Source organism: Homo sapiens, chromosome 5, assembly GCF_000001405.40.
Source record: "Homo sapiens chromosome 5, GRCh38.p14 Primary Assembly".
In the NCBI taxonomy this organism is placed as follows: Eukaryota; Metazoa; Chordata; class Mammalia; order Primates; family Hominidae; genus Homo; species Homo sapiens.
This window is the reverse complement of record NC_000005.10, coordinates 30,417,368-30,435,940: the sequence shown is the minus strand read 5'-3', so window position 1 is coordinate 30,435,940 and position 18,573 is coordinate 30,417,368.

Below are 18,573 nucleotides of genomic sequence, written 5' to 3'. Positions count from 1 at the left end.
CCCAAATGATAAACTGGCATTTATAGGAAAAGATGAAAACTAATCAAGAATTTAAAAAGGTGATTTTAGCAATGCTAAGAGAAAGAGGAGCCAAAAAGCTGTCAGCCCCCTCCTTGAGAAAATATTAATAATGACACTGAGGAAAGAAATATTATTTCACTCATGTTGTGCCCTCTTTTTCTGTTGTTAAAGAAAATATTTTACACTAGAATGGAATTTGTAGCAGTGGCTATAAGTAAGAGGAATCTGAGTCAAAAATAAAGAAATTGTGAGAATGACAAAACTGTTTTTCATATTCTGCACTGGACGAATTAAATTTTAAGGCACTAAAAGATATGGCAATTAAAATGTGGAATTTTTACTACTAACAATTAGTTGAGTAGCATAGGAGAAATTAGACTGTCAAAGGCATTTGCAACCTTTGAGACCAAAAAGAAGGCATATTCTGCAAACCAGAGATCTTGATGCCAGTTTGAATAATTTCCCAGAGTCTATTAATAAAAGAACAGTGTTAGAACACCTATAAAGGAGAGTGGTGATGATGAGGAACTAATATAAGCCATTAAACAAGTCACACTAAGCTAGTTCAATTGTCTTTTTTGATATGGTTATGAGACTATAAGCTCAGGGATGTGCTGCAGAGAAAATGAAAATGGTTTTCAGAAAGCTGCTTGACAAACCCTCACATGATATACTGTTGTGTAAAATGGAGAAATGTACACAGTATGGCAAATTGGGCAAATGAATATAACCAAAGACCCATCAACAGGGCTCAAGTTCAACTCATTTTGACATGTTCTGTGATTTTTCCCTGACTCTCTTCTTTGCCATATATCTATGAATTGGCTGCAAACTTTGATAAGATCCTTACTAAACTTGTGCAGACATGGAGTTGGAAATAATAATAAATATTATAGATAACAAATTAAGCATTCAGAAGGCTCTTAGCAAGCTAGAAAGACAGGTTAAATGTAAAAGTTTGAAATAAAAAAATGGATAGCGATGGGCAGACAAAAGCAGCAGAGATAAAAGTAGAAGGAGGAGGAAAGAAATGAGAATATTAAAGGCCAAGAGAAAAACAAATTTTAATAACATAATGTTGGAAAAATAAAAGTTTTAGTTAAGGGAAAGATTAGCATAAACTAAAACTATATTCTAGACATGCCAACTAAAGCAAAACTATTTTAAAAATAAATTTAACCAAAGATGGATACCCAATGAACTGTAACTCCCAGTTCTCTTCCACATGAATTTGGGCTGGCTGTATGACTCATTTGCAACTGATAAAATGTAGTCAATGTAACATTGAGATGACAACTGGGGCTAGTCAGAAAAAGTCTTGCAGGTTCTCACTGGTCTCTTGGAATGCTCACTCTGGAAGAAGCAAGCTGCCATACAAGTCAGCCTGCCCTGGGACCACCATGCAATGAGGGGTGTACACTAGTCGTATTGAGAGAGAGATGAGTAGACAGGCCTGCCATGAGGCATGTAAATGGAGAAGCCTCCACTTGACTCCAGCCTCAGCTGCTGCCTGGTTACAACATATGTGATACCCCAAGCAATAACTGTTCAGTTGAGTCTGTCAATCTCTAGAACCAGGACACATCATAATACATTGTTGTAAATCGTTATATTTAGGCACTCAACATTGGAGTAGTTTCTACACAGAAAAAGATAATTGGAATGATCCAAAACTTGATTTGGACTTAGGCCACATTGATATAATTATGTTCTCATTTAGAGCAAAGATGGCAGGGAGGGGAGCTGTTTCCCATTCTTCTTACTTCAGGTGACACAACACTCAGAGTGTGGTGTTTCATTTTGATGACTCTCCTTTAACAAACTTACTCACAAACTGGATTTCACCAGAAGAAAAGAAAATAATGGTGAAATGAGCTATTTTGTATAAGAATTGCCAAGCCACCAAGGGTGTTTAGCTTGGAGAAAGAACAAAAACAGATAAGGTAAAAACGAATCCCCCACTTTATCCAGGTCTATTGCCTCAATACTTCTCTTATTTATCATTGAATCAATTCTTCATTGCATTAAAATAAATCCAGATGAACTTATTTTTCTCACTTTGTACTTCTGGTTTCTATCATGGCCTCTTTTGGTAGTGTATGAGACCTCTGCATTAAACAGAATCCCCACTGTGGTTTAATTTGAACAGTAATCAGAAATCCCTTGGATATTTTCTCAATCTTTTCTATATAGAACATAACCAACACCTTCCTTCCAAAAACATAGCATATTGCACTAACAAAATTAAATGCTTGCAGACACAGGTACCTAAGAAAAGCTAAGTCATTTGGACTCAGACTGTGATCAGAGAAATAACTCAATGTGCACTGATCCTGCCAGCAGTGAAGTTGAGGTCTGAGAGATCGGTTATTAGGTTGCAGTCAGCAGTATCAATTGAAAACAAAATAAATTGCAGGTTACAGTTACCCAAGATGTGTACGAGAAATAGAAGATGAGCCACCCTATTGAGGAATGAATATAGGGAGAGAAGTTTGAATGTCTTTGATGTGTTTTTTCATAGATTGTATTGAACATTATGGTTTGATATGTGCAACAGCAAATGTTGTCATTACATATCACACTGTAAAGCATGACTTTCCATTTAGATCAAGTGCCTGGTTTTCCAAATTACTCTTGCTCCATTTTTATTCAAATTGTCTTGCACTTGTAAAAAAGAAATGAAAACAAAATTAATATGTTGACTCTGTTAGAAGAAGTTCACGAATTCTTCGTTGACACCAGTGACATCAGATTCTTCAAAACTAATTCCAGTAATGGTTTGATTTTTTAGCATCCAATTCATTGAATAGAGATTTTATAAGTTAATTCTGTCAATGATAATATATCCAGTATTATTGTGAATGCTATTGTAAATTTATTTAAAATATTAAGTATTGAAGCTAAATTTTTTTCCTGGCAATAATAAAAATAGAAAATTTGTAGTACTATTATGATTACAACTATGATCTTAGAAGAAACAAAGAAAACCAAGAAGACTAAAACCCCAAAACTTTGAGACAGACATGTATTTGAAATTGGCTGAATGCTCACATATTTCCTAATTGTATCCAGAAATTTCAATATTCTGGAAATAGAAACTCTGATTTCAGCTCTAACATATAAAGAGCTTAGCAATTTTTATCTCCATCCTTACAACAAGAAGATAGTTAAGCAAAGTGATAATCAGCTTCCTTTAAACTCATCAGATAACTGAGGTGACAGGACAAATTATTCCACTGAACGCTGGAGAAACTGGTGTTTTGGTCTATTTGAGCTAATGTAACAAAATACTGTAAGTAGGTGGCTTGTAAGAAACAAAAATTATTTCTCACAGTTCTGGAGACTGGAAAGTCTAAGATCCAGGCAAAGGAAGATTTGGTGTCCAGTGAGGGCCCACTTCCTGGTTCATAGAAAGCTGTCTTCTCTCTGTGTCCTTACACAGTATAAGGGAGAAAGGAGATCTCTTTCATTAGGACACGAATATCATTCATGAGAATTACACTCTCATGACCTAATCACCCCCCTAACACACCACCATCAAATAACATCACACTGGGAATTTAGTTTTAACATATGAATTTTGGATGAATACATTCAGTCTGTATAATCTGGCTAATAAAGTCAGAGTCAGAATCTACTTACCTGGAGTAGAAGATGCTGGAGCCATAAACTGGTAAGAACATCTAAATAATAATTTTGAACAATTTTCTTGAGGGTAATTATGGACTAGCATGAGAGTGAGAAACCCCTGAAGAATGTATTCTTAGATGGTCTCCACACTTTTGTGAGTTTTAAGTTCAATAACCTAACCACGTCCTTATGCTGTGGAGTCGAGAAAAATCCTTCATGACTCTACCAGAGGGATGGGAGAGTAACAATTTTAACATAAGGTCAGAATATTCCAGACAAAACAAGGCTACTCTAAAGGGGAAATATTTTGCCAGAATCTTATTCCACCTTCAGGAACGGTAGATACAACACTCCTCCTACACCCCTCTAGAATTCTTGTCTCACCTAAGGGAATGAGAATAAGAAACTCTTGTGAAGATCACAGCCCAGGGACACAGACTAAAAGACTGAGACTAAATCAAACGACTATGGGGCACATTTTCTTCCAAACGTCTTACAACCATATCAAAAGAACTACAGTATAACAACACTGAATAATAGTAAAAACAGCTACAAGGTATAGTATCTATATAAGAGGAATGCTTAGTGAAGCCAAAAGTCAAGAGGAGAGATACAAATATATTGGAGGTAGCTGAAGCCTTAGGCATTTATACCTAGAGCAAACCTCAACAAAGTCCAACTCCTACTCATGTTAACATAAAATTTTAACTAAAGGCCTATTTACTCCAGTTTCTACTACTTGATAAAACATCCCTGGATATCAATAACAATTTATAAGGCAAGCTAAAAGACAAGACAAAACAGCCTGAAAAAAACAAAGCTAAGATCCTAACCAGATTCAGGTATGAGTTACATTTTGGAATCATCAGGCAGGAATTTAATATAGCTATAATTGATAAGTTAAGAAGCCTAATGAAAAAAGTAAACAACATAAAAAAGAGATTGGTAATATAAGCAAAAAGATGGAAACCATAAGAAAACCAAAAAGAAATGCTAGACATAAAAATGACAACAGAAATGAAGAATACTTTTCATCAGCTCACAATTAGATAGGATATGGCTGAGGAAAGAGTCAGTAAGCTTAAAGATATGTCCATGAAAACTTCCAAAACCCAAATAGAAAAGGAAAAAGAAAAGAATTAAAGAGATAAACAGGAGAAAACATTCAAGAACCATGGGACAATCTCAAAAGGTGTAGCCTAGGCACAAACGCATAATTGAGATCCAAGAAAAAAAAAGTAGAAATGAACACAGCCAAAAATATATGTATATATTTGTAGCGATAATGGCAGAGTAATTTTAAAAATTAAGGACACACAACAGCATCAAGCAAGATAAATACCAAAAAATCTACACCAAGAATATTGTTTACACTACAGAAAACCAAAGACAAAGAAAACATGTTGAAAGGAACCAGGGTGAAGGAAAGACACCTTATAGAGGGACAAGATAATAATTTTTGTCTGAAACTATGCAAGCAAGAAAGGAATGAAGTAAAATATTTACCATGTTAAAAAAGAAGCTCACTAAACTTGAATTCTATATCCAGCAGAAATATCTTTTAAATGTGAAGTAGATTTTCTCAGATAACAAACACTGAAAGAATTCGTTACCAGCAGACATGCCCTATAAGAAATTTCCAAATACGCTTCTCATAGAAGAGAAAAATGATATAGGTCAGATAGTCAAATCCCTATAGAGAAAGAAAAAGCATTGGAGAAAAATAAATGAAGTCAAAATAAAATGTTTTATTATTCTTATTCTTAATTGACCTAAAAACCAACTGTTTAATAACAGTAATAATGTATTAACGGATTATAGCATATGAATTGATTAGATGAACAAACTAAACTTACGAGGCACAGGAAGTAGGATTTGAACTACTCTGTCATAAAGTACTTCCACTGGATATGAAGCATCATGGTGTTATTGGAAGGTGGACTTAGATTAGTTGTGAATGAATATTGCAAACTCTAGAGCAACCAGTGTTTTTTTTTAAATTTAGGAGATAAAATGGAAATATAAAATGGTCAATTAAAACCATGAAAAACAGAAAAAAAGAATGGGAATATGGACAAGAACAAGTTCAACAAATAGAAAATGTCCTAAACTTTATAAATATTATGATAGTTAATTTTGTATGTCAACTTGATTGTGCCATGGAGTTTCTAGATATTGGATTAAACATTCTCAGTGTTTCTGTGATGATGATTTTGATAAAATGAACAAAATTAGCATTGAAATCAGTAGATTGAGTAAAGCTGATTGTCCTTCCTCTTATGGGTGGGCCTAATTCCTTCAATTGAAGGCCTGAATAGATCCAAAATCTAACCCTCCCTTGAGTAAGAGGGAATTATTTCGTGCCTTACTGCCTTTGAATCGAGATATCAACTTTTCCCCTGACTTTGAACCAGAGCTGAAACTTCAGAAGCTCATGGATCTCAAGCCTGCCAACCATCAGATGGAAGCTACAGAATCAGCTTTCCTAGTCCACAGGCTTTTGGACTCCAACTGGAACACCACAATCAGCTCTCCTGGGTCTTCGCCTTGCCAGTTCACTCTGTGGTTATTGATACTTGTCAGTCTTCATAATCACTTGAAACAAAACCTTATAATAAATATTTTTGTGTATGTTTGTGTGTGAACGTGTGTGTGTATCTTATTGGTTCTTTTCTCTGGCAATAGAAATGTAATGAAGTTATATCAGTAATCACTTTAAATATGAATTATCTAAATATCCCAATTAAAAGAGAGGTTATCAGAGTACACTAAAGAAAAAGCTGGGAGGAGCCAAGATGGCCAAATAGGAACAGCTCCGGTCTACAGCTCCCAGCGTGAGCGACGCAGAAGACAGGTGATTTCTGCATTTCCATCTGAGGTACCGGGTTCATCTCACTAGGGAGTGCCAGACAGTGGGTGCAGGTCAGTGGGTGCAGTGCACCGTGCACGAGCGGAAACAGGGCGAGGCATTGCCTCACTCGGGAAGCGCAAGGGGTCGGGGAGTTCCCTTTCCTAATCAAAGAAAGGTGTGACAGACGGCACCTGGAAAATCAGGTCACTCCCACCCGAATAATGCGCTTTTCTGACTGGCTTAAAAAACGGCACACCAGGAGATAATATCCCGCACCTGGCTGGGAGGGTTCTACGCCCACGGAGTCTCGCTGATTGCTAGCACAGCAGTCTGAGATCAAACTGCAAGGCGGCAGCGAGGCTGGGGGAGGGGCGCCCGCCATTGCCCAGGCTCCCTTAAGTAAACAAAGCAGCTGGGAAGCTGGAACTGGGTGGAGCCCACCACAGCTCAAGGAGGCCTGCCTGCCTCTGTAGGCTCCACCTCTGGGGGCAGGGCACAGACAAACAAAAAGACAGCAGTAACCTCTGCAGACTTAAATGTCCCTGTCTGACAGCTTTGAAGAGAGCAGTGGTTCTCCCAGCACGCAGCTGGAGATCTGAGAACGGGCAGACTGCCTCCTCAAGTGGGTTCCTGATCCCTGACCCCTGAGCAGCCTAACTGGGAGGCAACCCCCAGTAGGGGCAGACTGACACTTCATACTGCCGGGTACTCCTCTGAGACAAAACTTCCAGAGGAACGATCAGACAGCAGCATTCGGGGTTCACGAAAAACCGCTGTTCTGCAAACACTGCTGCGGATACCCAGGCAAACAGGGTCTGGAATGGACCTCTAACAAACTCCAACAGACCTGCAGCTGAGGGTCCTGTCTGTTAGAAGGAAAACTAACAAACAGAAAGGACATCCACACCAAAAACCCATCACCATCATCAAAGACCAAAAGTAGATAAAACCACAAAGATGGGGAAAAAAAAGAGCAGAAAAACTGGAAACTCTAAAAATCAGAGCACCTCTCCTCCTCCAAAGGAACGCAGTTCCTCACCAGCAATGGAACAAAGCTGGACGGAGAACGACGAGTTGAGAGAAGAAGGCTTCAGACGATCAAACTATGAGCTACAGGAGGAAATTCAAACCAAAGGCAAAGAAGTTAAAAACTTGAAAAAAATTTAGAAGAATGTATAACTAGAATAACCGATACAGAGAAGTGCTTAAAGGAGCTGGAGCTGAAAGCCAAGGCTCGAGAACTACATGAAGAATGCAGAAGCCTCAGGAGCCGATGCGATCAACTGGAAGAAAGGGTATCAGCGATGGAAGATGAAATGAATGAAATGAAGCAAGAAGGGAAGTTTAGAGAAAAAAGAATAAAAAGAAACAAACAAAGCCTCCAAGAAATATGGGACTATGTGAAAAGACCAAATCTACGTCTGATTGGTGTACCTGAAAGTGACGGGGAGAATGGAACCAAGTTGGAAAACACTCTGCAGGATATTATCCAGGAGAACTTCCCAATCTAGGAAGGCAGGCCAACATTCAGATTCAGGAAATACAGATAACACCACAAAGATACTCCTTGAGAAGAGCAACTCCAAGACACATAATTGTCAGATTCACCAAAGTTGAAATGAAGGAAAAAATGTTAAGGGCAGCCAGAGAGAAAGGTCGGGTTACCCACAAAGGGAAGCCCATCAGACTAACAGCTGATCTCTCAGCAGAAACTCTACAAGCCAGAAGAGAGTGGGGGCCAATATTCAACATTCTTAAAGAAAAGAATTTTCAACCCAGAATTTCATATCCAGCCAAACTAAGCTTCATAAGTGAAGGAGAAATAAAATACTTTACAGACAAGCAAATGCTGAGAGATTTTGTCACCACCAGGCCTGCCTTAAAAGAGCTCCTGAAGGAAGCACTAAACATGGAAAGGAACAACCGGTACCAGCAGCTGTAAAATCATGCCAAAATGTAAAGACCATCAAGACTAGGAAGAAACTGCATCAACTAACAAGCAAAATAACCAGCTAACATCATAATGACAGGATCAAATTCACATATAACAATATTAACTTTAAATGTAAATGGACTAAATGCTCCAATTAAAAGACACAGACTGGCAAATTGGATAAAGAGTCAAGACCCATCAGTGTGCTGTATTCAGGAAGCCCATCTCACATGCAGAGATACACATAGGCTCAAAATAAGAGGATGGAGGAAGATCTACCAAGCAAATGGAAAACAAAAAAAGGCAGGGGTTACAATCCTAGTCTCTGATAAGACAGACTTTAAACCAACAAAGATCAAAAGAGACAAAGAAGGCCATTACATAATGGTAAAGGGATCAATTCAACAAGAAGAGCTAATGATCCTAAATATATATGCACCCAATACAGGAGCACCCAGATTCATAAAGCAAGTCCTGAATGACCTACAAAGAGACTTAGACTCCCACACGTTAATAATGGGAGACTTTAACACCCCACTGTCAACATTAGACAGATCAACGAGACAGAAAGTTAACAAGGATACCCAGGAATTGAACTCAGCTCTGCACCAAGCGGACCTAATAGACATCTACAGAACTCTCCACCCCAAATCAACATAATATACATTTTTTTCAGCACCACACCACACCTATTCCAAAATTGACCACATACTTGGAAGTAAAGCTCTCCTCAGCAAATCTAAAAGAACAGAAATTATAACAAACTGTCTCTCAGACCACAGTGCAATCAAACTAGAACTCAGGATTAAGAAACTCACTCAAAACCGCTCAACTACATGGAAACTGAACAACCTGCTCCTGAATGACTACTGGGTACATAACGAAATGAAGGCAGAAATAAAGATGTTCTTTGAAACCAACGAGAACAAAGACACAACATACCAGAATCTCTGGGACACATTCAAAGCAGTGTGTAGAGGGAAATTTATAGCACTAAATGCCCACAAGAGAAAGCAGGAAAGATCCAAAATTGACACCCTAACATCACAATTAAAAGAACTAGAAAAGCAAGAGCAAACACATTCAAAAGCTAGCAGAAGGCAAGAAATAACTAAAATCAGAGCAGAACTGAAGGAAATAGAGACACAAAAAACCCTTCAAAAAATTAATGAATCCAGGAGCTGGTTTTTTGAAAGGATCAACAAAATTGATAGACTGCTAGCAAGACTAATAAAGAAAAAAAGAGAGAAGAATCAAATAGATGCAATAAAAAATGATAAAGGGGATATCACCACCGATCCCACAGAAATACAAACTACCATCAGAGATTACTACAAACACCTCTACACAAATAAACTAGAAAATCTAGAAGAAATGGATAAATTCCTGGACACATACACCCTCCCAAGACTAAACCAGGAAGAAGTTGAATCTCTGAATAGACCAATAACAGGAGCTGAAATTGTGGCAATAATCAATAGCTTACCAACCAAAAAGAGTCCAGGACCAGATGGATTCACAGCTGAATTCTACCAGAGGTACAAGGAGGAACTGGTACCATTCCTTCTGAAACTATTCCAATCAATAGAAAAAGAGGGAATCCTCCCTAACTCATTTTATGAGGCCAGCATCATCCTGATACCAAAGCCGGGCAGAGACACAACAAAAAAAGAGAATTTTAGACCAATATCCTTGATGAACATTGATGCAAAAATCCTCAATAAAATACTGGTAAACCGAATCCAGCAGCACATCAAAAAGCTTATCCACCATGATCAAGTGGGCTTCATCCCTGGGATGCAAGGCTGGTTCAATATATGCAAATCAATAAATGTAATCCAGCACATAAACAGAACCAAAGACAAAAACCACATGATTATCTCAATAGATGCAGAAAAGGCCTTCGACAAAATTCAACAACCCTTCATGCTAAAAACTCTCAATAAATTAGGTATTGATGGGACATATCTCAAAATAATAAGAGCTATCTATGACAAACCCACAGCCAATATCATACTGAATGGGCAAAAACTGGAAGCATTCCCTTTGAAAACTGGCACAAGACAGGGATGCCCTCTCTCACCACTCCTATTCAACATAGTGTTGGAAATTCTGGCCAGGGCAATTAGGAAGGAGAAGGAAATAAAGGTATTCAATTAGGAAAAGAGGAAGTCAAATTGTCCCTGTTTGCAGACGACATGATTTTATATCTAGAAAACCCCATTGTCTCAGCCCAAAATCTCCTTAAGCTGATAAGCAACTTCAGCAAAGTCTCAGGGTACAAAATCAATGTACAAAAATCACAAGCATTCTTATACACCAGTAACAGACAAACAGAGAGACAAATCATGAGTGAACTCCCATTCACAATTGCTTCAAAGACAATAAAATACCTAGGAATCCACCTTACAAGGGACATGAAGGACCTCTTCAAGGAGAACTACAAACCACTGCTCAATGAAATAAAAGAGGATACAAACAAATGGAAGAACATTCCATGCTCATGGGTAGGAAGAATCAATATCGTGAAAATGGCCATACTGCCCAAGGTAATTTATAGATTCAATGCAATCCCCATCAAGCTACCAATGACTTTCCTCACAGAATTGGAAAAAACTACTTTAAAGTTCATATGGAACCAAAAAAGAGCCCGCATCGCCAAGTCAATCCTAAGCCAAAAGAACAAAGCTGGAGGCATCACACTACCTGACTTCAAACTATACTACAGGGCTACAGTAACCAAAACAGCATGGTACTGGTACGAAAACAGAGATATAGATCAATGGAACAGAACAGAGCCCTCAGAAATAACACCGTATATCTACAACTATCTGATCTTTGACAAACCTGAGAAAAACAAGCAATGGGGAAAAGATTCCCTATTTAATAAATGGTGCTGGGAAAACTGGCTGGCCATATGTAGAAAGCTGAAACTGGATCCCTTCCTTACACCTTATACAAACATCAATTCAAGATGGATTAAAGATTTAAACGTTAGACCTAAAACCATAAAAACCCTAGAAGAAAACCTAGGCATTACCATTCAGGACACAGGCATGGGTAAGGACTTCATTACTAAAACACCAAAAGCAATGGCAACAAAAGCCAAAATTGACAAATGGGATCTAATTAAACTAAAGAGCTTCTGCACAGCAAAAGAAACTACCATCAGAGTGAACAGGCAACCCACAAAATGGGAGAAAATTTTTGCAACCTACTCATCTGACAAAGGGCTAATATCCAGAATCTACAATGAACTCAAACAAATTTACAAGAAAAAACAAACAACCCCATCAAAAAGTGGGCGAAGGACATGAACAGACACTTCTCAAAATAAGACATTTATGCAGCCAAAAAACACATGAAAAAATGCTCACCATCACTGGCCATCAGAGAAATGCAAATCAAAACCACAATGAGATATCATCTCACACCAGTTAGAATGGCTGTCATTAAAACGTCAGGAAACAACAGGTGCTGGAGAGGAGGTGGAGAAATAGGAATACTTTTACACTGTTGGTGGGACTGTAAACTAGTTCAACCATTGTGGAAGTCAGTGTGGCGATTCCTCAGGGATCTAGAACTAGAAATACCATTTGACCCAGCCATCCCATTACTGAGTATATACCCAAAGGACTATAAATCATGCTGCTCTAAAGACACATGCACACATATGTTTATTGCGGCACTATTCACAATAGCAAAGACGTGGAACCAACCCAAATGTCCAACAATGATAGACTGGATTAAGAAAATGTGGCACATATACACCATGGAATACTATGCAGCCATAAAAAATGATGAGTTCATGTCCTTTGTAGGGACATGGATGAAATTGGAAATCATCATTCTCAGTAAACTATCGCAAGAACAAAAAACCAAACACCGTATATTCTCAGTCATAGGTGGGAAATGAACAATGAGAACACATGGACACAGGAAGGGGAACATCACACTCTGGCGACTGTTGTGGGGTGGGGGGCGGGGGAGGGATAGCATTAGGAGATATACCTAATGCTAGATGACGAGTTAGTGGGTGCAGCGCACCAGCATGGCACATGTATACATATGTAACTAACCTGCACATTGTGCACATGTACCTTAAAACTTAAAGTATAATAAAAAAAATAATAATAATAAAATCAAAGTTCCATGGTCAAGCAGTGAACAGAATATTATTATAGCATTGCCTTGAAGCTCTCATTCTGACCCAGAAATAAAATATATTCTACCTGAAAAAAAAAAAGAAAAGAAAAAGCTATATTAATTTCAGACAAAGTGGACTTTGGAACAGGAAGATTATCAGTGATAAAGATGAGCATTATATAATGATAAAGGAATAAATTATTTAAGGAGATACAACAATCCTCAGCTTAAATGTTTCTAACAAGTGATCATCAAATGTGAGACAAAAACTGACAGAACTGAAAAGAGAAATAGACAAATCTAGTGTTACAGCTGGAAATGTCAAAACCTCTGATTTAGTAATTGATAGATCAAGGCAGAAAATCCGTAAGGATATATATAGTTGACATGAACAACACAATCAATCAACTTGATTTAACTGACATTTATAGAATATTCCTCCAACCACAAAATATATATTCTTCTTAATATCATATGAAACATTCATCAAGAAAAACCAAAGATTGATTCATAAAAATACTTTAACAAATTTTAAGGTATAGATACCATAGAAAGTATATTCTCAGGCCACACTGGAATTAACCTAAAAATCAATAACAGAAATATAGCTGGATATTACAAATATGTGATAACTTAAAATATAATTGTAAATAGTAAAATGCTCAAAAAGAGTGCTCAAGAGAAGTTAAAAAATATTTTGTTGAAATAAAAGTAAAAGGCAACTTATCAAAACATGTAGTGTGCAGTAAAAACGAGAGAGGGACATTTCTAGTGTTTAATTAACATATTAGAAAATATCTAAAATCAACACTCCAAGCTTTTAGTTTATGAACCTAGAGTAAGAAGAGTAATGTAAGCCTAAATTGAGCATAAGGAAGAAATGAATTAGAGGAGAAATCAATGAAATTGAAAACAGAAAATAGCGCAGAAGTAAATGAAGATAAATGCTGGTTTTCTGAAAAGATTAATAAAGCTGATAAACTTCAATCAAGAATAACCAAGACAAAAGACAAAAAATGCCATACCATGAATAAAAGAGGGGCTATCAAAATTGATTCCATAGACATTAAAAGGATGATAAAGAAAGATTTTGAATAACTCTGTGCCCCTAAATTTAATAATGTAGATGAAAGGGACCAATTCTTGGAAAGATACAAGCAATTCAAACTCATACAATGGGAAACAGATCATTTTAATTGCCCTATATGTATTAACTAAATTAAATTAAAAATTAATAATCTTCAAAAACAAAAACAAAAACAAATCCCAAGGCCCAATGGTGAATTCTAAGAAACATTTAAAGAAGAAATGATACCAATTTTCCACAATCTATTTCAGAACATAGGATGAGGGGGAACACTTCCTAAACTCATCATATAAGACTATCATTATCTGAATATCAAAATTAGGTATAGTAATTACAAGAAAGGAAAAGTTTGGGTCAATATTTCTTTTGAATATAGGTGTAAAAAATCTCAACAAAATATTAGCGAATAGAATCCAACAATATATGGAAAGAATTATACACCATGACAAAGTACAATTTGTTCAGAATACACAAGACTAATTTGATATTTGAAAATGAATTGGTATTTTGCACCAAACCTAAAAGCTAAAGAAGAAAATTTGTCTATCATATCAATACAGAAGAAGTATTGAACAAAATCCAAAACATGTACACCTTAAAAATCTCAGCAAACTAGAAATAGAAAACTTTCTAAATTTGATAAAGAATATCTACAAAAAAATCTTAAAGCTAGTACCATTCTTGATCCTGAGGAACTGGATGCCATGATCGAGAATAAGGCAGGATGTCTTGTCTCACCACTCCTATTCAGTATCATATTGGAAGTCCTTACTAGTGCAATAAGACAACAAATAAATGATATATAAATAGATGAAGAAGAAAGAAATAAAACTTTGTTCACAAATGATATGATTATTTAAGCAAAAAATTCCAAATCAGCATTTCTGTAAGATACAAGATGATATAGAAAAGTCAATTGCTTCTTTATGAGCAATGTACAATTAAAATATAAAATTAAGAAATTATATTATTTACCATAACATTCAACAGAATAAAATACCTAGGATTAAATTTAACAAAATATGTAGAAAGCACAGATATGGAAAACTATGAAAACCTTGTCAAAGACATTAAAGGGGATTGAAATAAATGGACACCATGAATTGGACGACCCAATTTTGTAAAGATGTTAATTCTTACCAAGTTGACCTATAGATTCGATGCAATCTCAGTTAGAATCCCAGGATTCTATTTTGTAGATAGTGCCAAACTTATTCTTCTAAGGGTTACATGGGAAGACAAACAACCTAGAAAAACCTAGACAATAGTAAAAAAAAGAACGAAGCTGGAGGGCTCACATTACCTATCTATATTTACCATAAAGCTGCAGTATTTATACTGTATTTATACTTAATATAAAGCTACAGTAATCAAGATAGCAAGGCATTGACAAAATAACAGACATACCGATTAGAGTAACAGAATAGAGAGCACATAAATAGGTTACCATAATTGTAGGTAACTGAGTTTTTGACAGAGGAGCAAAATCTTTTGAACAAATAGTGCTGGAACAATTGAACACCCGTATGTGGGAGGGGAAAGGGTGGGATCTATCTATCTATCTATCTATCTATCTATCTATCTATCTATCTATCCATCCATCTATCTATCCTTTCTCAAAAATTAACTAAAAATGTATTATAGTTCTAAGTGTAAAACCCAAAACTATAAAACTTCTTGAAGAAAGCATATAAGGATAAAACTAACTGACCTTGAATTTAGTGGTGAGTTTCCTCCCCAGAAACATATGACTCCAGAGTAATCATAAGAAAAACACCAGACAAATCCAAACTGAGTAGCATTCTACAAAATACCTGACCAGCACTCCTCAAAACCATCAAGGTCATCCATCAAAAAAGGAAGGACAGTCTGAGAAAATGTCACAGCCAGAAGGAGCCTGAGGAAATATGACAACTAAATGCAATGTGGCATCCTGAATAGGATCCTGGAACAGAAAAAGAACAGCAGGAAAAAACTGAGGAAATAGAAACAAAGTATGGAATTTAGTTAATTATAATGTATCAATATTTGTTTGTAATTTGTACCAAATTTACCATACCAATGTAAGATGATAGTAATAGGGGAAATTAGGTTAGGCCCACATGAGACCTCTCTGTATTTTGTTCCTAACATTCCTTTAAATCTAAAACTTCTCTGAAAATATCAATTACTTTTTAAAATTATAAAAATATGGAAGCTTTCATTGTGAAAATATATAAATGACTATGTGAATATTAATAAGCTGCAACATTTGTCAAAATGCTGATGAAGAACACACAAAAAATTGTGAAAGCAGTTTTTATGTTTTTTCCATTATTAATCAGATCTTTACAATTTTGAAACTTATTTTCCAAATGAATCTGAGGGTCCTACAAAGTATTAAATATTGCTGTGAGCTCTTGAAATTTGGTTATAATTTCCTCAAAATCAGTTGAGAATTTTTAATCATGGAAATCAAATGCTATAGCCCCAAACATTTGGGTTTTGAAGCTTTTTGAGAATTACAATTGTTTTGAAAACAAGCCTTGAAATAAAAAAAGACTTTCAAATATATCTCTACAAAACCAATAAAAGAATTAAATAGATTAAAGAATAAAAACTAAAGGGCAGCAGAATTAATTCTGGATATGTGTAATTGAATTAGGAGGATGCTGTTTGATAAATTAAATTTATGCTTTGTATTACACTGGAATGCAATTGAGAAGATCTATAATTGTGCCCCATTTACTTTTGGTAAAATATATAAAAGAATCATAAATAGATATAGTAATGTCTGTGATTAGTTTTGTCTTATGAAAGTATTTTTGAAATCACTATTTTACATGTAGACAAAAGATACCATCTGTGAAAAATATATAAATTATTCTGTGATTTAAATTATGTGTAATAAATGATTAATTGTATGACTATATGCTTCATGGGGGCTATAACAACCTACTTGAGATAACTGAAATAATATGAAGTGTTTAGAATTAACTATTTGTGACCAAAAGATGACTAATATTGTTTTTAAACAGTGACATATACATCAGGAAGACATACATTGCATTTGATGTCTTTCATAAAAATAATATTACAGCTATCATAAAATGGGTTGATGAATAAATATCTTTAATATCTTCTTTAAATCTAAGTTCTATAATTTTATGAAAACAATTATTGTGAATAGATTGATACACTGTGGTTCTAAGTGGATGTACATTTTGGGTGTGAGGAGGTAGAATTCATAATTTTCTTATGAATAGATTTTATTTTTTATTACTGTCTCTGGATGTTTAACAGTTGGAATGATTTATGACGAGATTACTAAAATTCTCAATTCTAGTGGTGTTCACAGCAAGAAAGCTAGCCAGGATTGTGGTTACATATGCGTACAAAATATACAGCCCTCTATAAGCAAGATTCTGATATCAATGGAGTGAGAAAATAACAATCTCTATTCAGAACAATAGGGAAATTTTCTCTGGCAGTGTCTATATTAAGCTTACAAAATTACTAGTGTACAATACAGTAACAGATCTATTTAGGCAAAAATGTGACTTGACATTTGCTTGACTTTTAGTAAGTTAAATATTTCTCTAAATGAGTTAAAATGACAAATCCAATTAAATTATTCAAACATTATTTTTTTTCTACATTCTTTAAGATCTGTTTCTCTTTGAGTGACCTTGTGAAGACAGGTCCTGTAAAAATTGGCTGCAACTTTTTTACTAAGATTGTGGAATCTGATGACACATAAGATGAGTCTAACTAGAGTAGAAAAAGAAGGAAAAATTGACAGAGGACTTGTGTCTTGTTACCCCTAGTTTACTAAATCTAGTCTTATAGAAACAAATGAAATATAAAAAATTTAAAAAGAGACAAATATGACAAACAAAAAGGAAAGAATACAAAAAATAGATGCAGTATTTCAAAGTAGAGAGATTGTTATCTCATTGTGATAATGGAGAATACTATTTTAGAAAAGAAATATAAGCTAACTGAATATTGAAAATTTTATAGAATTAAAAAACCGATTAGAATAAATTACTGAAGTAATGAATAGTAAGTTAGAAAAGAGTATGAGAGTAAAAAGTAGGATTTTTGTATAAATAATGGAAAACATTCATTTGATATATAGAAACATTCTAGTAGTTCCACATTAAGAAAGAAACAGAAGGAAAAATCAGTGTTCTTTTGAAGGTAGGTCTTGAGGCAAGCATAGCATAAAAAATAAAAGTGTAGGACCATACATATAACTGTTAGCTAATTAGGATCATCACCAAATAAGATTATAAAAAAATACTTCTAGGAATTTTTCAAAACATTAATAAATAATGTAAATTATTTAAAGAGCAATGACATATCTTTCTAAAATTTGAATTCCCTTTATTACAATAAAACCATTTGGACACTTCATGCAGTGATAGACTTTTTGAGTGTTTGTTTAAAATTATGCATTAAAAATTTTGCTTTAATATTTTTGTTTAAATAAAAACAATTAAGTGTTCACTTTCTACCAGGAAAAGTTAATTGATTTAGTGACAATAACTAAAAGGTAACAAAAGTGACAGTAACTAAAAATGCACAAATGCATATAAAAAATCATGTAAATTGACTACATATGTTAAATTTGCTTTTATACACATCTCTTTTTAAACTCAAATGTATAAGAAATATATCATAGCAATATCCTGTATATAAAAAATAAATATTTAAATTTTTATTTCTCTTATGTTGCTTTTCTATTAATAAAAATGTATACACACAATGGATATTAGAGTGTTCATGTTGTCATAATATAAATGGAGAATAGATATTTCATTTAATGACCAATTAAAAATGTTATGAAATACAATTTTCAAATCCACAAGTCTCTTGCACAGAGTACCCACAAAGAAGTCACTTGTGTACCAACTTTGTTGC